Here is a 27076-nt window from a genome sequence, read left to right as displayed (position 1 = left end):
TAAATATATAAATATATATTTATCTATAAATTAAATATATAAATATATATTTATCTATAAATTAAATATATAAATATATATTTATCTATAAATTAAATATATAAATATATATTTATCTATAAATTAAATATATAAATATATATTTATCTATAAATTAAATATATAAATATATATTTATCTATAAATTAAATATAAATATATATTTATCTATAAATTAAATATATAAATATATATTTATCTATAAATTAAATATATAAATATATATTATCTATAAATTAAATATATAAATATATATTATCTATAAACTAAATATATAAATATATATTATCTATAAACTAAATATATAAATATATATTTATCTATAAACTAAATATATAAATATATATTTATCTATAAACTAAATATATAAATATATATTTATCTATAAACTAAATATATAAATATATATTTATCTATAAACTAAATATATAAATATATATTTATCTATAAACTAAATATATAAATATATATTTATCTATAAACTAAATATATAAATATATATTTATCTATAAACTAAATATATAAATATATGTTTATAAACTAAATATATAAATATATGTTTATAAACTAAATATATAAATATATGTTTATAAACTAAATATATAAATATATGTTTATAAACTAAATATATAAATATATGTTTATAAACTAAATATATAAATATATGTTTATAAACTAAATATATAAATATATGTTTATAAACTAAATATATAAATATATGTTTATAAACTAAATATATAAATATATGTTTATAAACTAAATATATAAATATATGTTTATAAACTAAATATATAAATATATGTTTATAAACTAAATATATAAATATATTTATAAACTAAATATATAAATATATTTATAAACTAAATATATAAATATATATTTATAAACTAAATATATAAATATATATTTATAAACTAAATATATAAATATATATTTATAAACTAAATATATAAATATATATTTATAAACTAAATATATAAATATATATTTATCTATAAATTAAGTATATAAATATATATTTATCTATAAATTAAGTATATAAATATATATTTATCTATAAATTAAGTATATAAATATATATTTATCTATAAATTAAGTATATAAATATATTTATCTATATTAAATATATAAATATATATTATCTATAAATTAAATATATAAATATATATTTATTATATAAAATTAAATATATATTAAATAATATATAAATATATTTTTTTATATATCTGAATAGCTATTTCTCAAGACATACAAAATGACCAATAGGCATATTAAAAAAACGTTCAATATTGTTGATCATCAGAGAAATGCAAATCAAAATCAAAATGAGATATCATCTCAACCCAGTTAAAATGGCTTTAATCCAAAAGATAAGCAATAACAAATGCTGGCAAGGATGTGTAGAAAAGGGACCTCATACCCTGGTGGCAGGAATGTAAATTAGTACAGCCAGTATGAAGACCAGTATGGAGATTCCTCAAAAAAACTAAAAACAGAACTACTATATGATACAGCAATTCTATTGCTGGGTACATACCCAAAAGAAGAAATCAGCATATCAAAGAGACGTCCACATTCCCATGTTTATTGCAGTACTATTCACAATAGCCAACATATAGAATCAACCTAAGTGTCTCCATCAACAGATGAATAGATAGGCCGGGCGCGGTGGCTCACGCCTGTAATCCCAGCACTTTGGGAGGCCGAGGCGGGCGGATCACGAGGTCAGGAGATCGAGACCATCCCGGCTAAAACGGTGAAACCCCGTCTCTACTAAAAATACAAAAAATTAGCCGGGCGTAGTGGCGGGCGCCTGTAGTCCCAGCTACTTGGGAGGCTGAGGCAGGAGAATGGCGTGAACCTGGGAGGCAGAGCTTGCAGTGAGCCGAGATCCCGCCACTGCACTCCAGCCTGGGCGACAGAGCGAGACTCCGTCTCAAAAAAAAAAAAAAAAAAAAAAAAAAACAAAAAAACAGATGAATAGATAAAGAAAATGTGGTACATATACACAATGGAATACTATTTAGCCATAAAAAAAGAATGAAATCCTGTCCTTTGCAACAACATAGATGGTACTAGAGGAGATCATGTAAAGTGAAATAAAGCAGGCACAAAAAGACAAATTTCACATTTTCTCACTCATATGAGGGAGCTCAGTTTTTTTCAAATTGAACTCATGGAGATAGAGAATAGAATGATGGTTACCAAAGGCAAGGAAGGGTAGCAGAAAGAGGGAAATAAAATGGGGATGGATGATGGGTACAAAAATACAGTTAGATAGAAGGAATAAGATCTAGTATTTGGTAGCACAATAGGGTGACTATAGTTAACAATAATTTATTGTATATTTTTAAATAACTAAAAGAGTGGAAATTGAATGTTGCTAACACAAAGAAATAATTGCTTGAAGTGATAGATATCCTAATTACCCTGATTTGATCACTACACATTATATGCCTGTGTCAAAACATCACATGTACCCTGTAAATATATACAACTATTACGGACCCATAATGATTAAAAATAAAAAATTTAAAACAAAACAGATGTGTGCAAGTATGTGTCCATGTTAATAAAAGCATTAAAAGCATTTTCTATTTACCATTTGATCTACTTGACTTTTTCCAGAATATTTTATACAGTATGCTCTGAGACTAAAGTAGATATTATATATGTCAGTATAGAATGATATAATAAAAAGAGAAACCTAGCAGAGCAAATCAATTTTTTAAAAAAGAGTTTACCTGATAATTAACTATAACTTTAAAGACAATTAACTATATTCCTAATAATCTGTCAAGATCTTTATCTGTCAATTCAGTTAAGTTCTTCACCACTGAAGGATGTTTTCACTAATTAAACCATATATACCAACTTCCAATTTCAACTTCATCAAGGAGTTTTCTGAAATATTTTAAAATATTTTAAAAACATTTAAACTATTAAATAGTAAAAAGTTTGGGTTAGCCAAAATAAAAGCCAAACTTTATGAACAGTATTACAACCACCAACCTTCTTTTATTAAAACAAATAAAAAACAGCACTTTCTCTTTTCAATTGTAGAGAATACAACTTTTTTTAAAAAACAAAGAGGTTAGGATGTCAATAATGTCTTAGAATTAAAACTGATGATATAACTTTTTTTACAAAAAGATGGATAGTTCAGTGGTTTAGAGGATAGGTTCTGAAGTCAGATTGCCTGGGCTAATTCCAGATCTGCTACATACTAACTGGAGAAACTTGGAAACATTAAATCCTAGCCTGTGTATGGTGATATAATAGTACTACCTCACTCACAGGGTTTTTCTAAACATTTTACACACATTAACTCATTTATTCCCCTCAATAACTTCATGGGGTAGGTACCGATATCGTGCTCATTTCCTAGATATGCTAAGTGGTACTGGGAAGGGTAACTAACCTGCCAAGGGTAGAGAGTAAGTCGTGGAGCCACGAAGCCAACCCAAAGGGTCTGACCCAGGGTCAGCACTTTTAACAGCACGTCACTGGAGAGCCTCTGAGATGCTTCTGCGGAAGAAGGAAGAGGGGATGAATGATGAAAAGAGAACGAAGACAGAGGAAGTAAGAGCTGAGACATGATGCTGACTGATACCATCAAAACTTCAGGAGAGTAATGGTACCCACAGAAGACTATGTACAGAGGATTTTATGAAAATGGTGAAGGGGTGGAGCTTTGCACCTGGGGGGAAATGAGGCTAAACAGAGACAAGCATCAGCAGACAGAGGAGCTGAAGGGCAACGAGGCCTCAGCCAACATCTGGCGGACCTGATTTGTTTGGGTCATTTGAACCAGGTACAGCACCAGCTGCACTGCAAATTAAACTGCTATCCTGGAACTACGACGGAAGTGATTCCTCACCATGACTGTTCAACTGCTAGACATATGGTGCTGGGTACGACACCAATTATGCTAGTCCAAGATGGTCCTGGGAAAATTCCCTCAGATGGAGCAGCTGGTACTGAGAGCATATTAGAGTAATTAGGTCCCGGAAATTCCTTCTTAAAATACGAAATTTGGAAGTTTGTGTGCCTTCTGAGGCTCAGTTAAAGAAAGACTACTTCTTAAACTAGTCTTTCCTGGAAAGGGAAAGGAGATCCATAGTAGATAATACTCGGAGGCAGAAGGCCCTGGAAACTGGGCTTCTACTGAGATAGCTACAAGACATGCAATGGAATGTCTCATCAGGACTACATGCTACCAGAAATTGGAGGAGATCTTAGCAGCACCAGGAGCCACTGCAGTGGTGGTTAAAATTTGTCTCAGAAATCCTACAAAGTGGCAGAGAAGTAGGGATAAAGTAGATGAATAAAAAGTTTAAGGTCCAGCATTAGGAATTCTATGTGCTTTCAAAGATGCCAGTACACCCAACTTACAGCCTCTAAATGGCTATTTGATAACAAAAAGAATAATGTCAATTTCTAATCATAAAGACAACAGAAAAGAGGCTGGACGTGGTGGCTCATGCCTGTAATCCCAACACTTTGGGGGGCCGAGGCAGGAAGATTGCTTGAGGCCAGGAGTTCAAGACCAACCTGGGCAACATGGCAAGACCCCATCTCTATTTTCTTTAAAAATAATTTTAAAAAAAATTTTAAATACATATATAATAAAAACAACAGAAAAAAGCAGAGTTCCCTGTATATGTGTTAAGACTTCAGAGGTATTTTAAAATCAGGAATATATAACAGAGTGGAAAACAAGAGTTTTTTGGAAAAAATTCTGAGAGAAGAATTTATTGTGAAACTCCTGAAAAAGAGAAACTTCACAGGAGGCCTGATGTACCCCTGAAGTTTTCTGTTAGCGAGGCTAATTCAAGAAGTGTGAAAAAAGTAACACTGGCAGCTTTCAAGGAACTAAAATCGGAGTTAACAGAGTCAGTTCTGACTTGGAAGCCAAGGCATAAATTCCTGACACACTATGAAGGAAGGGTCATATTAGCAATTAAGTCCACTGCACCCTACCTTATCCCAGTCAGAAGGCTACCCAGAAAAATCATCAGCCCTGGTCAAAGACTAAGCCCCACTATTTTTACCTCAGGTATAAGGGATCTGGTCTGAAGAAAACAATTCTGAGCAACCTCCCAGCTACTGCTCCTGTCCCTGGACATACAAGACAGGTTCTCAAAAACAACAGGCCTGCCAGAACATGGCTGTAGAAATGATGGAAAATTCTATAGTAAAGTTTATCCACGAGAAAAACTCTATTCTGGTCTCACAGAGATTACCCTTAAATCTAAGGGAAACATCCCTTATTTCTCAAAGCCTACAGAGCATTGGCTGATGCTAGCAGATGCCAGTCTGATGGGGCCAAGATAAAGGAAGTAAGAGGTAGGAAACCAGTATCTGGAAAAGGAGACCCAGAGAAACATTCCAGGGAGTGAAGACCATATGAGTTAATGCAAATCTTCTCAGAGAAGGAGTAGGAATTTGGTGGGAGGAGGTCCAGCATGGAAAAGGATGAGAACCACAAGGAAACACTGGGTTTGACTACCCCACACCATACTTTGGAAAGAGAATTTCTGGGAAGAGCATACAAAGATGTTGTGCAAAACTTTTCCTCAGGGGAAGAAATGTGACATGACATGGAGGAAATTTTACTTTTCAGAACTCCCCTGGTGAAGAACACTGTATTTGATTGTAAGAAATATTTTTTAAAGACACTAAAACCTTTAAAATTTGCAGGTATTAATTTTATAATAGAAAATAGTCTTAAACAGGAAACACTATTTAACATATTTAGATTTTAAAGTCTACTTCATTCAGCAAATATTTATTGGATGCCTAATTTAATTTCAGATGCTAATTTATGAAACAAGGTTAGTACTATTTATAAGACAGAACTTGAATTCATCAAGGATTCTTGAAGACTTTAGATTTTCCACAGTTAAAAAAAAAAAGGGGGGGAAAAAGAAGTGATTTTACACATTTAACTTGGAGAACACAGCCAAATCAACACGGAAGAAAAGTCTCACTTGATGACACTATTCCAAGTAATTGATGACTTTCATCTTTACAGATTTTACGCTTTAAAAATTAAACACATAAATTAATTCTGAAATTATAAGAAATAATTTAAAATCAATCATATAATTTTCAAGTAATTTTTTAAAGAGAACATAATTCATCTAATTATTTTGTTTCTTAAAAAGACTCACCTAAAAGGACGAATCCATCTGCTTCTGTCTCTGGTACTGAGGGCTTTTTAGATTCCGGAGGCTTTCTGAAGAAGTGAAACATTGCTGCTGCTGCTGCTGCTGCTGCTGCTGCTGCTGCTGCTGCTGCTGCTGCTGCTGCTGCTACCTGAAATAGAAACATTACACAATGTCAAATTCAGATGCAACTGTAAAACTCTTACCCTTTTTAGCAAAAAGTTCAGCATAACGATATAACAATAGTTACTCTTAGGAATTCTATGGCCACATGTAAAACCATGAGCCTTCTCTAGATGTCAGCCGACAAAGCTAGAAAATGATCTTCCAATTTAAACTCCTGTATCCTTTGAAGTTCACAGTGCAACCTCTCTCAAGTTCTGAAGATTCAGAAAATAACCCAGGAAATCCCTACATACAAAACTCAAATCAACAGATAACACGAGAATCTGGAAGGATCTTGCTAACCATAAAACAGACACTGGTTTGGGTGATAGGAAAAAATAAAATAAACAGACCTGTCCAGGTTTCTTGTCATGTTGTGACTACCTTAAGCCTCATAAGACTAAGGCCACTGGAGAAAAGAAAACACATCAAACATCCCCTACTGATGGTTACCTAATTGAGACACTCAAGCACTGTACCTGTATTAGTCCATTCTCACACTGCTATGAAGAAATATCCTCGACTGAGTGATTTATAAAGAAAGGAGATTTAATTGACTCACAGTTTCACATGGCTGGGGAGGCCTCAGGAAACTTAAAAGCATAGGGGAAGTCACCTCCTCACAGGACGACAGGGAGAGAATGAGTGCCAAGCCCCTTATAAAACCATCAGATCTCATGAGAACTCACTCACTATCACGAGAACAACATGAAATGGCTCCCATGATTTAATTATCTACACCTGGTCCTGCCCTCGACACATGGGCATTAATACAATTCAAAGTGAGATTTGGGTGGGGACAAAGAACCAAACCATATCAGTACCCATTATAAAATTGCAGCCAACTTTAAATTCCCATCAGTGCAAATCCTTGCGTTGGTGAGATTATTGTGACCATCCCTCATACACACATGCTCACACGCACACAAATACAAGCACACATACACAACCCTCTTTTCCTACTATTCCCATTGTTATACATTCAAGTAGGCCAACAATTTCTAGAAAACAACTGGGGAGAAAGTTGAAGGGTACTTGCAAGGACACATAGGATTCTGAGGACAGTTCCTTACAAGCCAAAAAAATAAAAGAGAAAGCAAAGAATAATCCTGGTGGCAGCAAGTGCTCCAAGTTTTAGTTTTCATATATTTCACCCATAGCAGAAAACCAAGAAGGGAGGGTGAGGATTTAATGTGAGTGAAAGCCTTCTAGCAACTGAAAATTATACTGGGATTTGTGCTGGTTGGCCTGACCTGAGTTGTAGATCAGAGAAGGATATGAACCCCAACATAAGTGAATGGTAAAAGGAATCTATTGGTTGCTAGAAAACATATCTGGCAGATTTCACTTTTAAAAAAGGAATTCAAAATGGAGAAGAAAAACACAAGTCATGTGAAGAAGAAAACATTCTAATTAGAAAAAAGGAACAGCTTCTGAAATCCTTAAAGAAAGTGCTTACTGGATATAGTAATAGATACAAAAGAAAAGTTTGAAAACAGTTTGGCACTCTCTATAGAGAGCAAGGAGAGATGGCCTCTAATGAAACTGGTGAAAAACAAGATTAGATGAAAAAGCAAAAGAAAAGGATGAAAAGACAAGGAATCAAATGAAAAAAAGTAACTGAATAAGATAAAGGGAAACCCCCACAAGGAAAAAATGAGGTCAGAAAAGAATTGGTTTGCAAGCAGAAATGTAAGACAATAGATTTCAAATTAAACGACTTACACAATTGGAAAAGGCAACTACTTTTCAACCTCGAACAGTTAAAAACAAAACTGAGAAGGCCTTTAAGGAACAACAGCTAATTAAAACTCAGCCTCAGCTAAGGATCAAATAAAGGGTATATAGCTGATATTAAAACCTCAGTGTAGACTAATGTGGCACTCAGTAAATTCTTTCTCTTGGGATAAAACGGTTCAGAAAAAAGAGACTAAGGGTGTGGGTCTCCAACTGAAGCCTTGTGGAGCCAAGATATCCTCAAATAAATAAAGAGAAGAGGGGGGCATGCACAGAGGTGAAAAAGATAAGAAATACAGGAAATCTAAGAATTACATCTAGCAAAAATTTTAGGTCTGGCTATTGACACACGAAGCTGACTAAAGTTAAGTAGATAAGAAACCAACAAAATTTTTGAGAGTTGTACTGCAAAAATAATCTGGTCTCAATTCAAAGAGTAATATGATTATTGAATGCTTAAAACAACCCTTAGACACCAATTTTCTACAGATAAGAAGCTGCCAGAGAAAACTGTTCAGCCCCCAAGGAGGCCCAGTGCCCATTTCCGTTGTAGCCAAGGAAGTTACCGAAAAGGAAAAAATTCCAACAGGGTGAAGCCAATGGCATGGAAGACAATGGATGGAGGAGCCTCTCCCAGGAAGCAGAATCTGGACATAATTAAGGAACATTCTTGGGCCCAAGATAGGGGTCCCCCAAAATTCTACTGTGGAATTGCAGAATTGCTACAACTTTTGACTGTTCTCTCTCTCCCTTTGTTCGCCTTTGTAAATGGGAGTGGTTTTGGCAATTATGCTTACCAGTTCCACCAGGGTGTAAGGGTAAAGGAGGGGCAGATTACTTGTCTTTTTAGTTCATGAAGTCTCCAGACCAAGAGTACCACATCTGAACATGATGAACAGACTCTTGTGTATCAGCCAGAGGCACTGAACTTTGAGCATGATGCTATATCTGAATGGGGCAATGAGACAGACTGCCTTGGGGAGGGGTGAGTTACTTTGCCTATAGTAGTAGAGAGACAGATCTGAATATATGGTGAACACAAATGAGAACCACCGAATCGTTAGGGCTGTTTACCAGCTCTGTTTTATGGAGACATAATAGGACAGTTTTCTCTTCCCTCCCTGGAGTTAGATGTGGCCATGTGACTTGCCTTGTTCACTGTGCCACATGCCATTAGAGTGCTACAAGAACTTTTGTATATATAGAGAGACCCTTTACGAAGTGGCTCCTCTTCTAACATATGAATAACAGTCTTTTAACAGAAGGACTCAAATTTCCAATGCCTTTTGATGTCTGGCCACAAGTCAGAAATGGAACAAACACGGATATCACAAAAGTAGTTTTAATAAGTCATTCTCCAACCCCAAAAGTTTAAGTTGTTATAAAAGCCAGACTAAACTCAAGTGTAGTATAAGAAAACAAACAACCTGTTTTTAACCCAAGTATTGTGTATGGAATTTATAACAAGTAATTAAGTGAAACGTTAAAATTTTTAATGACCTAAAACATCAAATTTAAACACACTGGCTGCAGCAGTCTGTTACATAGCATGACTTACTGGCAAAGCATAACATTATAATCTGTCACTTCCAAACATCAGAACATTATAATATCCCAAATATATTATAGAAGGAGGGATAATTTAGGCTCCAAAAGTCAAGAAACGTGTAGGCATGGAAAAAAACAGGTCAGGAATAAGGCAAAGGAGGCAGAGACTATAGAAAAGAACTGAGAATGGCAACAAAGATTTGCTTTGGATAATTTCAGACAGTTCCGAAATTATTACAAAGGCATCAGTCACCCTCGTGTCTATCACTCCACCAATCTGACCACCAACTTAACTCCTTCCCCTACTACAGTCCACCTCAAGATGTTGTTCTGTGGGAACATGCTTCCTAGTTTACAATAAGAGTCTTGGGATTCCCTTGTATGATCAATACTGCTGCTGATGCTAAAGACTCATGCCACTAGGTACCTAAGGTCAGTCTAACCATGTATCTTGAGTAATCCCCTCCATGCCTGAAAAGAACATATGCTAAAGCACTAAAATCTGCCATCAGCTTATCTTAATCCCATGATATTCTTTTCATATCACTCAAAAACACACAGTGGTATAAAAACGTAACCTACAGTGGAGAAAAGGACTGGCAAATACCATTCTTAGATCTCCCCTCTATGAGGGGTACAGCAAGATTTAGTTACCCTGCCTAAGACTAGTAACTGGAAAGGCGAAGGGGAATAACTACAAATGCCACTAACATTTACTGAGTTCCTACAGTGTGTCAGACCCTATATCAAAATACCGTATACAATCGTTTCCTCCTTATCCATGGGGGACATGTTCCAAGATCCCAAGTAGACACCTGAAACCAACAATAGTACTAAACCCTATATACAGTATGTTTTTTCCTATACAAAAGGTTCCCCCAAGTAATGTTGCTTCATTTTAATACTGATGAGAAAAAAAAAAAAACTTGATTCCCAGCTGGGGCCACTGTCTATATATGTGTAGAGTTGGCCCATTCTCCCTACGTCTGTGTGGGTTTTCTCCCCAGTACTCCAGTTTCTTCCCACATCCCAAAGCTATGTCCATTAGGTGGACTGGCATGTCTACATGGTTCCTTTCTGAGTGAGTGTGGGTGGGTGTGTGAGTGCCCTGCAATAGAGTGGTTTCCTGTCCAGAGCTGGTTCCTCCTGAGGCCTTGAGGGCTTAAGCTGCCAGAAGAGCCTCTGGCCAGCTGTAGCACTTAACTAGAATAATTGGGTAAATAATTATCTTACTTGTTTTATTAATATTTCTTAAATGTATGTATCACTAACATTCATTTCAATGTTTAACATTAGAAAAGTTTTTATCTTTATTTAGAAGTTGGTGATGTTTTTAGGACCAGAAATATGCCATAAGAAATGAACTCTTGCTTATATCAATTAGCCTATGGTAAAACTGGTTTCATTACATGTTGTTTCACTTAAAGTCAGTTTCTAAGAACCCATCCATGATGCTAAGTGAGAACTTACTGTATGTACACATCTATGATAAAGTTTAATTTATAAATTAGGCACACTAAGAGATTAGCAATAACTAATAATAAAATAGAACTATAACAATATATAGTAATAAAAGTTATGTGAATATGGTCCCCCTCTCTCTCCCTCTCTTAAAACCTTATAGTACTGTACTCATAAATTTTTTTACTTAGTTGCCATAAGTAACTGAAACAGTAAAAAAATCAAAACCATAGATAAGAAGGGGGACTACTGTATGCTCTATCTCCTATAATCCTTACAGTAGCCCCACAGGTATACACAATTATTCACATTGTGTAAGTAAAAGAAGTAAAGTAGGACCAGGCATGGTGGCTTACACCTGTAATCCCAGCACTTTGGGAGACCGAGGCAGGCAAATTGCTTGAGCCCAAGAGTTGAGACCAGCCTGGGCAACATGACGAAATCGTGTCTCTACAAAAAAAAAAATTAGCCAGCTGTGGTGGTGTGTGCCTGTGGTCCCAGCTAATCGGGAGGCTGAGGTTGGAGGACTGCTTGAGCCCAGAAGGCGGGGGTGAAAGTGAGCCACTGCACTGCAGCCTGGGTGACAGAGCAAGACCCTGTGTTAAATGAACAAAAAAGAACTGAAGTGAAAAACTAGGTTAAGTATTGGTCCAAGTTTACATAGCTAGTAGAGTAGAGCACAATCTTAAACCAAATTCTATTGGCACCAAAACTGAATGCTTTTCATCAGTAAAGCAGCAGAGACCAGAAACACTTAACACTTAGGACGTCTGTGTTGGACTTTCTTTAATATAATATTTCTCAATGTTAGTCAAATACATTTGATTAATTCCATTTCTGTCTTTGTCAGTCCCTACTTTCCCAAGCCTTGCTCAGCTCTATGCTGTGAAGACATTTACTACCTGCACAACATCTATGAAGACCTTCACTTACTTCATACTTTTATAATATAAACATTCATTAAGTGGATAGGCCAGACAATGATCCAAAACTGTAGGTGTAGCAGTGAACTTACATTTAGGGAAAAAAAACTGCAACCTCTGCCCATCATATTTCTGAGGCAATCCTTAGCAGAATTAAGAGTAATTTAAGTGGAAGGGACCTGTATAATCCTGCTGCCCCAAGCCTAGTATGCGGTAAGCTCTAAGCACTCTTGCTTCTGATATGCATGGCCTTGACAGCTGGACTTCCGCCTGGAGTTCCCAAGAATACTCCAGTCTCATTTCCTTCTCTGTAGTTTTCAGTATTTTTTTCAATTGTCTACAATGAGCAAATTTTACATTTATAAACAGGAAACATACCAAATTTTATTCTCAAAAACCCATTATTAGCTAGTGGCAACTTACCTATCTGAGCTAGAACCCAACCTATAATGCATCTTAATACTCAGGGATCCTGGAGCTACCTCTATACAGGTGGGGGATAAAGAATTCACCTGTCAGCCGGGCGCAGTGGCTGACGCCTGTAATCCCAGCACTTTGCGGGGCCAAGGCGGGTGGATCACCTGAGGTTAGGAGTTAGAGACCTGGCCTAGCCAACAAGGTGAAACCCCATCTCTACTAATAATATAAAAATTAGCTGGATGTGGTGGCGCACGCCTGCAATCCCAGCTACTCAGGAGGCTGAGAGGCAGGAGAATTACTTGAACTTGGGAGGCGGAGGTTGCAGTGAGCTGAGACCCCACCATTGCACTCCAGCCTGGGCAACAAGAGTGAAACTTCGTCTCAAACAATAAATAAATAAATAAATTCATCTGTCCAAACCACAAAAATGGGAGAAAATTCCTGGAAATCACATATTTGATAAATAATGTATATAAAGGATATATAAAGAACTCTTAAAACTCAATAATGAAAAAACAGCTCAATAAAAACCGGGCAAAAAATATGAACAGCCACTTCACCTAGCAAGATACATGAACAGCAAACCACCACAAGGAAAATGACCCATATCATCAGTCAACAAGGAAAAGTAAATTAGAATCTCAATGAGATACCATTATATACCTATTAAAATATTTAAAATTAAAAAGATTTGCCCCGGTCAGGTACAGGGGCTCACATCTGTAATTCCAGTACTTTGGGAGGCTGAGGTAGGCAGATCACTTGAGGCCAGGAGCTCATGACCAGCCTGGGCAACGTGGCAAAACCCCATCTCTACTACAAAAAAATACAAAAATCAGCCAGGTGTGGTGGCGTGTGCCTGAGGTCCCAGCTATTCGGCAGGCTGAAATGGGAGGATTGCTTGAGACCAGGATGTCGAGCATGCAATGAGGCAAGATCATGCCACTGCACTCCAGCCTGGGTGACAGGGCTATGAGACCCTATCTACAAAAACAAACAAACAAACAAACAAACAAACAAAAAACACTTTCCCAAGTGTTGGCAAAGGGCAAAGATATGGAGCAACTGGAACTCTTGTACACTTGTGGTAGAAGGGTAATATGGTACAGCCACTGTGGACAACAGTTTGGCAGTTTCTTAAAAACATAAACATATATCCACCATATAACTTAGCCCTTAGGAAATGAAAACGTAGGTCCACACTTGTATACAAATGTTGTAACAACTTTTTTTTTAATAACCAAAAAATGGAAACAACCCAAATGTCCAATAACAGGTAAATGGATTTTTAAAAACTGCCATATGCATCCCATTCGGTAGTAAAAGGGAAACAAAATAGTGATACATGCTACAACATGCAACGATCTCAAAAAAAAAAAAAGCTGATGGAAAGAAGCCAGACAATATAAAAGTTCATACTATATGATTCCATTTATATAAGCTTCTCAAAAATACAAACTAGTGTACAGTGAAAGAAAGTATATCAGAGGTTGCCTGGGGAGGGGAGGAACACAGAGGGAACAAAGGAAGGAGGGATGACAAGGGAGTAGCAGGAAACTCTTGGAAGTGATGGGTATGTTCATTATCTTGACAGCAGTGACTGTTTCAGCAGTATAAGCACACATCAAAACTCATCAAATTGTATATTTTCAATGTGTTACTGATCCAATCTCAATAAAGTTCTTTAAAAATTTATTGACACAATTAGATGTCACATGTAAGTTTTAGTTCACAATTATTGGGAAAATTGTCTCAAATCTCTTAACCCACTTTGTGTTACAGGGACAGTCTTTATATAAAAAGCAAAATGTTTCTTTTCTGCATGCATCACACAAAACTAGAAAATAAAAGGACACTGTATTGACTTTTAATGGTATACACAGACTGCGTATAAAAGGGCCTGCCTAATTGCTTAGCAGGGCAGATCCTATTGTTCAGAATAGAGGTAGGAGAGCACTAGAATATATTTCTTTTTTCCTATTACTCCAAGGCTTCCCTTTTAAGTAATATTATCCATGACAAAAGGATTAGGCAACATGGTTTTCTCAATTTGATTATCTCCTTTGAATTTCAACAGACTACTAGTTAATGTAAATATATCAAATAGACTAAAATTCCTGTGTGATTGATGCAGCTACTGTCTATAGACAGAATAATGTAAATACATGTGTATGAATGTGTGTGTGTGTGTATATATATATATCTATATATCACCCACACACATTTTATTCCAAATACAATAAATATGTAAATTTCACAGTGCTGAAAAATTAAAATCCTGAACGATGTTTAACCTTCCTCCTTTTGTACAGTGAAATGCATGATTATGCAAATATAAAAATTTAGACAACAAGTTTACTAATTTCTCCTCAGAGATACCAATACAGTACAGAGGAAGGTAGGCCATGCTTTTGGTAGCTTTAATCTTGAGTGATAAGAATACACAACCTAAAACAACGCTAGAAAGCATAAAACATTCCAGAAAGATCAATGTGAATTAGAACTCTGGTAGGCTGCGCAGACTAGGTAGCCTTGAGTTTAACTTCATCTGATGTGTATAAACAAAGAAGAGAAGGAAGGCCTTTCCTGTAGGAAGGATCAACATGAACAAAAAGCATAGTGGGTATAGAGGAAAGCAAAGAGATTAACCTCACTAGAGGAAGGAACCATGTAGATAAGCAACAGAAATCAAGACTGCAAAAGAAGGGAAGAAATAAATTACTGAAGAGTTGTAAGCGTCAGGAAAGTGTCAGCATATTCAGAGTGGCAAAACAGGATTTGTTGGACATTACTGGGCAGTCTGGAGTCTTGAGCAAAGTATTTAAGAGAGATTAAATGTAAAATAGCATGCTAGAGAGACTGAGAAGAGCCTGGAGCCAAGAAGTTAAGACAGTTGTACTGAAACGGGACTGGATTAAGATGGGTGAAGTTTGAATGAGAAAAGAAGGGATGTACAGAAATGATATGGAAAAGTGGTATTATGAATAAGAAAAGGAAAAGTAGGGGACTTTATCTTAAGAGAAGAAAATAATAGTAAATTCCATTTCAATCTGATTTTCCAAGACAAACTGGAAATCCAGCTATTATGTAAAAATCTAGGTTTTAAATAATAGCAAGAAATTCACGATGTTTACAAATACTGTGCAGATGGTAGAAATCCTCTAAAACTGGACTTGGCCTTCAGGTGGCAAAGTGTTTTAGACCTAGGTTAGGAATTAATAGCCTAAATCTAATCAGTAGAAGGAAAAATTGTTTAATACTTTAGAATTCAGTAGATTTCCTGGCTAGCTCACCCATTCAGGTTATTCCCACCTTTGCTTGTTTTGACTAGGCTATTTTATAAATCTGTAGGAATAGGAGATCAGTTGTATAAAACTGATAGTCATGCATGTAATTCCTATCCATAAAAATGCTTCTGGTAAAATGCATTCGTTATTGCCCCGGGGATACTAACCAATTTTGCATCCATTTATAAATTTTACATTCCTTATTTGCCTATCAGTGTGTGATGAGGCTTTGAGTTCTCTTTTGAACCAGTTGCAGTATCTCACTAGTTCTCTCCTTAATTAACAAGTTCAGTATTTAACAGATTTTAGATTCATAGTAGAGACCTGATTTAATCCTCTTTTAAAATTTATCCTTTAGTATCAGTTAGACTACTAATTAGTATTACATAAAGACTCTCCCCCTGTTTTTCCGTCCCACCTAGGTTTTTTATTTTGTAGTTTTTGATATTGGTGTAATGGGGAAGAGGTACAGATGCCTGAGAGGATAAGCAAGAGAAGACATTTAAACTGATGTCACTTTTCAGCTCCACAGAACAGCTTGGAAACTAATTAATTAAATTGATTAACATAAATTTTACTTCCACCTCTCTTATTTATGCTCAGACTTTTAAAAAATGAAAGAAAAACAAAGAAAGAAAAAACTATCTTAGATTTAGGTGTTTGCTTCAAACTGCAAGTTCCAACCCTTGAGTGGAAGTAAACAATTTAGCAGGTCAAGACCAGACTTTTTTTTTTTAATGGAATGAAATAGGAAGAAAAAAAAAGTAGGGGAAGAGGGAAAGAAGGCAAAAAGATTGAGAGCATTATACATGGTAACTAATGCTTTATAAACTTTCGCATTTGGGTGCCTGTGCTGGGTTATAATAAGAAATCTATTTTCTAGTTTGGGCTACAGGCAAAAAAGGCTTTTTCAAAGCACTCACACACTTCTTTAAATTTTTTTGAGAAAATTATGTACTTTTTAATTTCACATCTAAAACTTTCCATTGAAAATTATAAAGGACATAGTTTCTAGCATACTATAAATATTTACATGTTGAAACAAAATCATTATATCTTTCTTTTAAATTTATTCAACAAAATCTAAACACCACAACATTTTAACACTCACCATTAACCATTTTAAAAATACATGAAGAGGGGTTGCTGGCAAGATGGCCGAATAGCAACAGCTCCATCTGCAGTTCCCAGTGAGATCAACACAGAAGGCGGGAGATTTCTGAATTTCCAACTGAGGTACCCGGCTCATCTCATTGGGACTGGTTAGACAGTGGGTGCAGCCCAAGGAGGGCGAACAGAAACAGGGTGGGGTGTCGCCTCACCCAGGAGGCATAAGGGGTTGGGAAACTCCCTCCCCTAGCCAAGGGAAGCCTTGAGGGACTGTGCGGTGAGGAACAGTGCACTCCGGTCCGGATACTACGCTTTTCCCACGGTCTTCGCAACCCACAGACCAGGAGATTCCCGCCGGTGCCTATGCCACCACGGACCTGGGTTTTAAGCACAAAACTGGGCGGCCATTTAGGCAGACATCGAGCTAGCTGCAGGAGTGTTTTCTTTTTTCATACCCCACTGGCCCCTAGAACGCCAGCAAAACAGAACCATTCACTGCCCTGGAAAGGGGGCTGAAGCCAGGGAGCCAAGTGGTCTAGCTCAGTGGATCCCAACCCCATGGAGCTCAGCAAGCTAAGATCCACTGGCTTGAAATTATCGCTGCCAGCACAGCAACCTGAAGCTGACCTGGGACACTCGAGCTTGGTGGGGGGAAGGGCATCTGCCATTACTGAGGCTTGAGTGGGCCGTTTTCCCCTCACAGTGTAAACAAAGATGCCGGGAAAGATCCAACTGGGCACAGCCCTCCACAGCTCAGCAAAGCCGCTGTAGCCAGACTGCCTCTCTAGATTCCTCCTCTCTGTGTAGGGCATCTCTGAAAGAAAGGCAGCAGCCCCAGTCAGGGGCTTATAAACAAAACTCCCATCTCCCAGGGACAGAGCACCTCGGGGGAAGGGGCAGCTGTGGGTGCAGCTTCAGCAGAATTAAACGTCCCTGCCTGCCAGCTCTGAAGAAAGCAGTACATCTCCCAGCACAGCATTCAAACTCTGCTAAGGGTCAGACTGCCTCCTCAAGTGGGTCCCTGACACCCATGTCTCCTGACTGGGAGACACCTCCCAGCAGGGGCCGACAGACACCTCATAGAGGAGAGCTCTGGCTGGCATCTGGTGGGTGCCCCTCTGGGACAAAGCTTCCAGAGGAAGGAACGGGCAACAATCTTTGCTGTTCTGCAGCCTCTGCTGATGATCCCTAGGCAAACAGGGTCTCGACTGGACCTCCAGCAAACTTCAGCAGACCTGCAGCACACGGGCCTGTCAGAAGGAAAACTAACAAACAGAAAGGAGGAGCATCAACATCAACAAAATGATGTCCACTCAGAAACCCCACTGAAAGGTCACCAGCATCAAAGGCCAAAGGTAGATGAATCCACAAAGATAGGGACAAACCAGCGCAAAAAGGCGGAAAATTCCAAAAACCAGAATGCCCCTTCTCCTCCAAAGGATCATAACTCCTCAGCAGCAAGGGAACAAAAATGGTGAGTTTGACAAATTGAAAGAAGGAGGCTTCAGAGATGGGTAATAACAAACTCCTCTGAGCTAAAGGAGCATGTTCTAACCCAACGCAAGGAAGCTAAGAACCTTGGAAAAAAAGGTTAGATGAATTGCTAACTAGAATTACCAGTTTAGAGAAGAACATAAATGACCTGCTGGAGCTGAAAAACACAGCACAAGAACTTCCTGAAGCATACACAAGTATCAATAGCCGAATCAATCAAGTGGAAGAAAGGATATCAGAGATTAAAGATCAACTTAATGAAATAAAGCATGAAGACAAGATTAGAAAACAAAACAAAAAAAAAACAATCAAAAGGAATGAACAAAGCCTCCAAGAAATATGGGACTATGTGAAAAGACCAAATCTACATTTGATTGGCGTACCCGAAAGTGACAGGGAGAATAGAACCAAGTTGGAAAACACTCTTCAGGATATTATCCAGGAGAACTTCTCCAACCTAGCAAGACAGGCCAACATTCAAATTCAGGAAATACAGAGAACACCACAAAGATAATCCTCGATAAGAGCAACCTCAAGACACATAATTGCCAGATTCACCAAGGTTGAAATGAAGGAAAAAATGTTAAGGGCAGCCAGAGAGAAAGGCTGGGTTACCCACAAAGGGAAGTCCATCAGACTAACAGTGGATCTCTCTGCAGAAACCCTACAGGCCAGAAGAGAGTGGGGCCAATAGTCAACATTCTTAAAGAAAAGAAGTTTCAACACAGAATTTCATATCCAGCCAAACTAAGCTTCATAAGCAAATGAGAAATAAAATCCTTTACAAACAAGCAAATGCTGAGAGATTTTGTCACCATGAGGCCTGCCTTACAAGAACTCCTGAAGGAAACACTAAACATGGAAAGGAACAACAGGTACCAGCCACTGCAAAAACATACCAAATTGTAAAGACCATCAACACTATGAAGAAACTGCATCAACTAACTGGAAAAATAACCAGCTGGCATAATAATGGCAGGATCAAATTCACACATAACATTATTAACCTGAAATGTAAATGGGCTAAATGCCCCCAATTAAAAGACACAGACTGGCAAATTGGATAAAGAGTCAAGATCCATCAGTATGTTGTATTCAGGAGACCCATCTCATGTGCAAAGACACACATAGGCTCAAAATAAAGGGATGAAAGAATATTTACCAAGCAAATGGAAAGCAAAAAACAGCAGGGTTTGCAATCGTAGTCTCTGATAAAACAGACTTTAAACCAACAAAGATCAAAAGAGACAAAAAGAGCATTACATAATGGTAAAGGGATCAATGCAACAAGAAGAGCTAACTATCCTAAATATATATGCCTCCAATACAGGATCACCCAGATTCATACAGCAAGTTCTTAGAGACTTACAAAGAGACTTAGACTCCAACACAATAATAGTGGGAGACTTTGACAACTCACAGTCAATATTAGATACATCAACGAGACAGAAAATTAACAAGGATATTCAGGACTTGAACTTGGCTCTGGACCAAGCAGACCTAATAAACATCTACAGAACACTCCACCCCAAATTAACAGAATATGCATTCTTCTCAGCACCACATCATACTTATTCTAAAATTGACCACATAATTGGAAGTAAAACACTCCTCAGGAAATGCAAAAGAACGGAAATCATAACAGTCTCTCAGACCACAGTGCAATCAAATGAGAGCACAGGATTAAGAAACTCACTCAAAACTGCACAACTACATGGAAACTGAACAACCTGCTCCTGTATGACTACTGGGTAAATAACGAAATTAAGGCAGAAATAAAGATGTTCTTTGAAACCAATGAGAACAAAAATATAAGGTACCAGAATCCCTGGGACACATCTAAAGCAGTGTTTAGAGGAAAATTTATAGCACTAAATGCCAACAAGAGAAAGTGGGAAAGATCTAAAATCGACACCCTAACGTCATAATTAAAAGAACTAGAGAAGCAAGAGCAAACAAATTCAAAAGCTAGCAGAAGACAAGAAATAACTAAGATCAGAGCAAAAATGAAGGAGATAGAGACATGAAAAACCCTTCGAAAAATCAATGAATCCAGGAGCTGGCTTTTTTAAAAGATCAACAAAATAAAAAGACTGCTAGCAAGACCAATAAAGAAGAAAAGAGAGAAGAATCAAATAGATGCAATAAAAAATGATAAAGGGGATATCACCATTGATCCCACAGCAATACAAACTACCATCAGAGAATACTATAAACAAGCTACGCAAATAAACTAGAAAATCTAGAAGAAATGGATAAATTCCTGGACACATACACCTTCCCAAGTCTAAACCAGGAAGAAGTCGAATCCCTGAATAGACCAATAACAAGTTCTGAAATTGAGGCAGTAATTAATAGCCTACCAACCAAAAAAAGTCCAGGAACAGATGGATTCACAGCCAAATTCTACCAGAGGTACAAACAGGAGCTGGTACCATTCCTTCTGAAACTATTCCAAACAATAGAAAAAAAGGGGCTCCTCCCTAACTCATTTTATGAGGCCAGCATCATCCCGACACCAGGCAGAGATACAACAAAAAAAGAAAATTTCAGGCCAACATTCCTGATGAATATCGATGCAAAAATACTCAATAAGATACTGGCAAACTGAATCCAACAGCACATCAAATAGCTTATCCACCACAATCAAATCAGCTTCATCAATGGGATGCAAGGCTGGTTCAACATACACAAATCAATAAACGTAATCCAGCATATAAACAGAGTCAATGACAAAAACCACATGACTATCTCAATAGATGCAGAAAAGGCCTTCGATAAAATTCAACAGCCCTTCATACTAAAAACTCTCAAAAAACTAGGTATTGATGGAATGTATCTCAAAATAATAAGAGCTATTTATGACAAACCCACAGCCAATATCATACTGAATGGGCAAAAACTGGAAGCATTCCCTTTGAAAACTGGCACAAGGCAAGGATGCCCTCTCTCACCACTCCTATTCAACACAGTATTAGAAGTTCTGGCCAGGGCCATCAGGCAAGAGAAAGAAATAAGGGGTATTCGAATAGGAAAAGAGGAAGCCAAATTGTCTCTGTTTGCAGATGACATGATTGTATATTTAGAAAACCCCATCGTCTCAGCCCAAAATCTCCTTAAGCTGATAAGCAACTTCAGCAAATTCTCAGGATACAAAATCAATGTGCAAAAATCACAAGCATTCCTATACACCAATAATAGACAAACAGAGAGCCAAAGCATGAGTGAACTCCCATTCACAATTGCTACAGAGAATAAAATACCTAGGAATCCAACTTACAAGGGACATGAAGGACCTCTTCAAGAAGAATTATAAACCACTGCTCAAGGAAATAGGAGAGGACACAAACAAATGGAAAAACATTCCATGCTCATGGATAGGAAGAATCAATATCATGAAAATGGCCATACTGCCCAAAGTAATTTACAGATTCAATGCTATCCCCATCAAGCTACCATTGACTTTCTTCACAGAATTAGAAAAAACTACTTTAAATTTCACATAGAACCAAAATAGAGCCCACATAGCCAAGATAATCATAAGCAAAAAGAACAAAGCTGGAGGCATCACACTACCTGACTTCAAACTATACTACAAGACTACAGTAACCAAAACAGCATGGTATGGGTACCAAAACAGAGATATACACCAATGGAACAGAACAGAGCCCTCAGAAATAATACCACACATCTACAACCATCTGATCTTTGACATACCTGAAAAAAACAAGCATGGGGAAGGGACTCCCTATGTAATAAATGCTGTTGGGAAAACTGACTAGCCATATACAGAAAACTGAAACTGGACTGCTCCCTTACACCTTATACAAAAATTAACTCAAGATGGATTAAAGACCTAAACGTAAGACGTAAAATCATAAAAACCCTAGAAGAAAACCTAGGCAATACCATTCAGGACATAGGCATGGGCAAAGACTTCATGACTAAAACACCAAAAGCAACGGCAACAAAAGCCAAAATTGACAAATGGGATCTAATTAAGCTAAAGAGCTTCTGCACAGCAAAAGAAACTATCATCAGAGTGAACTGGCAACCTACAGAAAGGGAGAAAATTTTTGTGATCTATCCATCTGACAAAGGGCTAATACCCAGACTCTAGAAAGAATTTAAACAAATTTACAAGAAAAAAACAACCCCATCAAAAAGTGGGCAGAAGATATGAACTGACACTTCTCAAAAGAAGACATTTATGCAGACAACAAACATATGAAAAAAAGCTCATCATCACTGGTCATTAGAGAAATGCAAATCAAAACCACAATGAGATACATTCTCACGCCAGTTAGAATGGTGATCATTAAAAAGTCAGGAAACAACAGATGCTGGAGAGGATGTGTAGAAATAGGAAGGCTTTTAACACTGTTGGTGGAAGTGTAAATTAGTTCAACCATTGTGGAAGTCAGTGTGGTGATTCCTCAAGGATCTAGAAACAGAAATACCATTTGACCCAGCAATCCCATTACTGGGTATATACCCAAAGGATTATAAATCATTCTACCATAAAGACACATGCGCACGTATGTTTATTGCAGCACTGTTCACAACAGCAGACTTGGAACCAAACCAAATGCCGATCAATGATAGACTGGATAAAGAAAATGTGGCACATATACACCATGGAATAGTATACAGCCATAAAAAAGAATGAGTTCATATCCTTTGCAGGGACATGGATGAAGCTGGAAACCATCATTCTCAGCAAACAAACACAAGAACAGAAAACCAAACACCACATGTTTTCACTTATAAGTGGGAGTTGAGCAATGAGAACACATGGACACAGGGAGGGGAACATCACACACTGGGGCCTGTCATGGGGTGGAAGGCTAGGGGAGGAATAGCATTAGAAGAAATACCTAATGTAGATGACAGATTGATGGATGCAGCAAACCACCATGGCACGTGTATACCTATGAAACAAACCTGCACGTTCTGTACATGTACTCCAGAACTTTAAGTATAATAAAACAAAAAAAAAATTTTTTTAAATACATGAACAAGTTCTTTACTAACAGCAAGAGACTTTACATTGTTCTTTTTTCTCCTTCAACTCGTATTTCCACTCCACTTCCACCCTCAGAACCACGCAGCTTTTACAATGGTGTATACAGAAGAATAAAAGTAGTGGCGGTAACCTCACTTTTAAGAGAGCCTGTCCTGGCCAGGCGCAGTGGCTCATGCCTGTAATCTCAGTACTTTGGGAGGCAGAGGCAGGCGGATCACCTGAGGTTGAGAGTTTGAGACCAGCCTGACCAACATGGAGAAACCCCGTCTCTACTAAAAATACAAAATTAGCCAGGCATGATGGCGCATGCCTGTAATCCCAGCTACTCGGAAGGCTGAGGCAGGAGAATCGCTGGAACCCAGGAGGTGGAGGTTGCAGTGAGCCAAGATCACACCATGGCATTCCAGCCTGGGGAACAAGAGCGAAACTCTGTCTCAAAAACAAAAACAAAGAGAGAGAGAGAGAGAGACTGTCCTAAATATATACACTTACTATATACCTACAAAAATATTTTTTAAATTAAAATACATAAAAAAGAGCCTGTCCTCTAATTTAACACTCCTAATCTTTTCATTCGTCCCCTAAATGTAATGTCACATCATACACATATATAGCATCCATTAAAAAGGGAAGTTATATGAGTTAATAAAACTTCTCTAATATAACCTTATAGATGCTTTCAGCCAACTGAGAATTTAAATGTTATTACTTTTAGCCAAAACAGCACAGCTAAAATACTTAGGAAGTTGGAAGATGGTGAGCTACAAATCAATTATAGAGCATCAAGCCAGGGAGGACTCTGGAGGAATGCAGAGGGTTCCAGAGAACTTCACTGTATAGGGTTCAACAGGAGCCAAACTGAAACTTTTCATTTAATTTATTTTATTTTTTCTTGATCCTCATAATTTCAATCATTTTCTTATTTTACTTTATACTAAATTAAAGGCAGGAAAAGCTTTTTCCAAATGAGACACGTGGATTTCAAACATGAAATCCTTAAACGCAATACAGGAAATCCTAGGTGAAAAGAGTACTGGGGGAAGGGGCAGTCTAGTTTATTCCCACGACTGGATGACTTTTAATGGCTGGCTCTGTCTGCCATGGAGAGCAGGCCAGAGGCATCATTTGATAATCTCAACTGCCAGCTACTCATCATTAGCATGTAAGATATCTACTACCAGGAACTGTCTGGAATCATTGCTGTTACTATAACAGTAAATCCTGCTAGCATAGCAAGCATTACATAATCCAGAATTACTAATTTTCTAGAATAGAGTGGGCCCACCAGATCCATAGGTCCTGCAATCCTACTATGAAGCAAAAATAGTCAAAAAAATAAAAAACAGTACAACAATTAAAAATATCACAAATTTTTTTTTTTTTTTTGAGACAGAGTCTTACTCTGTCACTCAGGCTGGGTTACAGGGGCACAATCTTGGCTCACTGCAATCTCTGCCTCCAGGTTCAAGCGATTCTCCTGCCTCAGCCTCCAGAGTAGCTGGGATTACAGGCACCCGCCACCACACCTGGCTAATTTTTGTATTTTTTAGTAGAGATGGGGTTTCACCATATTGGCCAGGCTGGTCTCGAACTCCTAGCCTCAAGTGATCAGCCCACCTTGTGCTCCCAAAGTGCTGGGATTACAAGCATGAGCCACCGCACCCAGCCCAAATTTTAAAATATAACTATTTACACAGAGTTAGATATTCTAAGGAATTTAGGGATAAAGCATATGGGAGGATGTACAAAGGCTATATACAAATACTATACCATTTAATAAAAGGCACTTGAGCATCTGTGGATTTGGGTATCAGCAGGAAGTCCTGGAACCAATCCCCTAGGGATACCGAAGGATAACTGTACTGTCTCTACAGAATCACTTCCCATATCCATATGATAAAGTCATCTTGAAAACTAACAACTTCACCTAAGAAAATTTTAGAACAGAACCTCCCCTCTTGTCAGATCCTATTTCCATCACTGAATACAGATGGCCTCACTTGGGTAAAACAGACGTCAAACAATTTTACTCTCCTCCATTACTTTGTAAATAAATTTGAGCCTCAAAGTATCTACTAGAGAATAGTCAGGGAAGGTTTTGGTTTTGTTGTTGATGGATTTAAGGATCTGTGTTTGTTTTCTTTTTAATTGAATGCCCTATGGTCCTATGGTTTTCAGAATCAAGAAGGGTAGCCTAGCAGTGATAAGAAATGACTGCTTTTTTCTCTACTGCTTCTTATTCACAATATGAAAAACAGAACGGAATAATAAAGTCTCCCCTCAATCTACTAATTTAGGGGGGAAATCTCATATTACATTGGACCAAGGTTTCTCAATCTCTCCACTCTAAGCATTTGGGATCAGGTAATTCTTTGTTGTGGGAGGCTGTCCTTAGCACTGTATCATGTTTAGCACCATCTCTGGCTTTAACCCACTAAGTGCCTTCCTATCCCCCAGCTGTGACAACCAAAAATGCCTGCAGACATTGCAAAATGTCTCCTAGGGGACAAAACCGCCCCTGGTGGAGAACCAAGACATTACAAGAAAGGGACTTCTTTTTCAACATTAACCACTCAGCAGCACTCTCTAGGTAAAGACATTCCCCTAGGTCTGGGAGCGTCAGACTTCACCTGAGAACTCTCAGAATACTGCCCTTTTCTTCAGTGTGAACAATGACAGTGAATAATAAAAAATGTGTTGTAACTCCTCTGTGAATGGGTATGATCACCTAGTGCGTGATGCACTTCAGTCAGAAAACATCTTAATTTCAAGAGGTTTTTTTTGTAATGCTATACATGTGAAAACCACAGTTTTTTTCCTAAAGAAGGATGCTAACTAGCATCCTTAGAAGATAAGGTTTAGAAGATAAGATTACTGCCTTTTTGAGAGCTTATAAACAAACTGCACTAAGAATTTATCATTTGGATCTCAATCACTGACAAAGAAGGCAATTTACAGCCTTTAGTGTCATCTTGAGTCATCTAAATTAATGATACAGTGACACATTTATATGTTTTAGGAAAGTTACAAATATAACTGCATAACTGCCACAAACCATTTTGATTTGAGTGTAAATAACACTACTGTACAAGAAGAATTTCTGAAGCAACTTCATTTGGTGTTGCATTTTGAAAATGAAAAAACACCCTGCAAAAGAATTCAGACAACTCTAACAAAAAGCATCTCTCCACATAAAACAAATATCATAAAACACATCTAAATAATGTCCTAAGGGAGAATTAAGTCATGGGATGTGAGGTCACACCTCTTTACAACTCTCTAGAGCACTGGGGAGCAAGAATAAATGTAAAAATAAATAAAACATTATTCAGTATGGGTCTTTAAAATATTCTATTTGCTCGCTCATTTTAATGTTTACACAAAATAGAAGCCATCACATTCAACATCCAGAAAGAATCACTCCCTAAACTGCCAACTAAAAATTATTTGACTTTCAATATAGCCTGACTGCATCATCAGAAGGCTTACTACTTCCTCCCCATTGAAGAACAAACTTCTTTTAACACTCAGTCATTTGTTTGTTCACTATTTAATTCATTCAACCAACATCTTTTGAGGGCCCAAAATTGGCCAGGCACTGTGGTAGGCCCTAGACAAACAAAATTAGACAAGTCACTTTCTCCAAATTCACGGAATTAACCAATCTACTTCCTGCCTCTTTATCCTACTTCTCTA

General features: G+C 37.4%; 2 protein-coding genes across 4 annotated transcripts in view; one reads left to right on the top strand and one right to left on the bottom strand.

Moving 5' to 3' along the window:
* RPA3 (replication protein A3) overlaps window positions 1–27076 on the top strand; it is an 82090-nt gene that overhangs the window by 38939 nt on the left and 16075 nt on the right. The window lies entirely within an intron of this gene.
* UMAD1 (UBAP1-MVB12-associated (UMA) domain containing 1) overlaps window positions 1–27076 on the bottom strand; it is a 238472-nt gene that overhangs the window by 199555 nt on the left and 11841 nt on the right. The window contains exons 2-3 of one of the 3 annotated variants that reach the window (NM_001302350.2): window positions 6216–6360; window positions 3461–3567 (exon numbers count right to left, since the gene is read on the bottom strand). Coding sequence is in view for 2 of the 3 variants with exons in the window: in NM_001302348.2 (NP_001289277.1) it covers window positions 6216–6297 (82 nt within the window). In the remaining variant the exon portion in view is untranslated. The remainder of the gene's footprint in view (window positions 1–3460; window positions 3568–6215; window positions 6361–27076) is intronic. The other 2 variants (NM_001302348.2, NM_001302349.2) reach the window with 2 other exon arrangements.

Source organism: Homo sapiens, chromosome 7 (assembly GCF_000001405.40).
Source record: "Homo sapiens chromosome 7, GRCh38.p14 Primary Assembly".
NCBI classification, from domain to species: Eukaryota; Metazoa; Chordata; class Mammalia; order Primates; family Hominidae; genus Homo; species Homo sapiens.
This window is presented reverse-complemented; position numbering and strand designations above follow the sequence as displayed.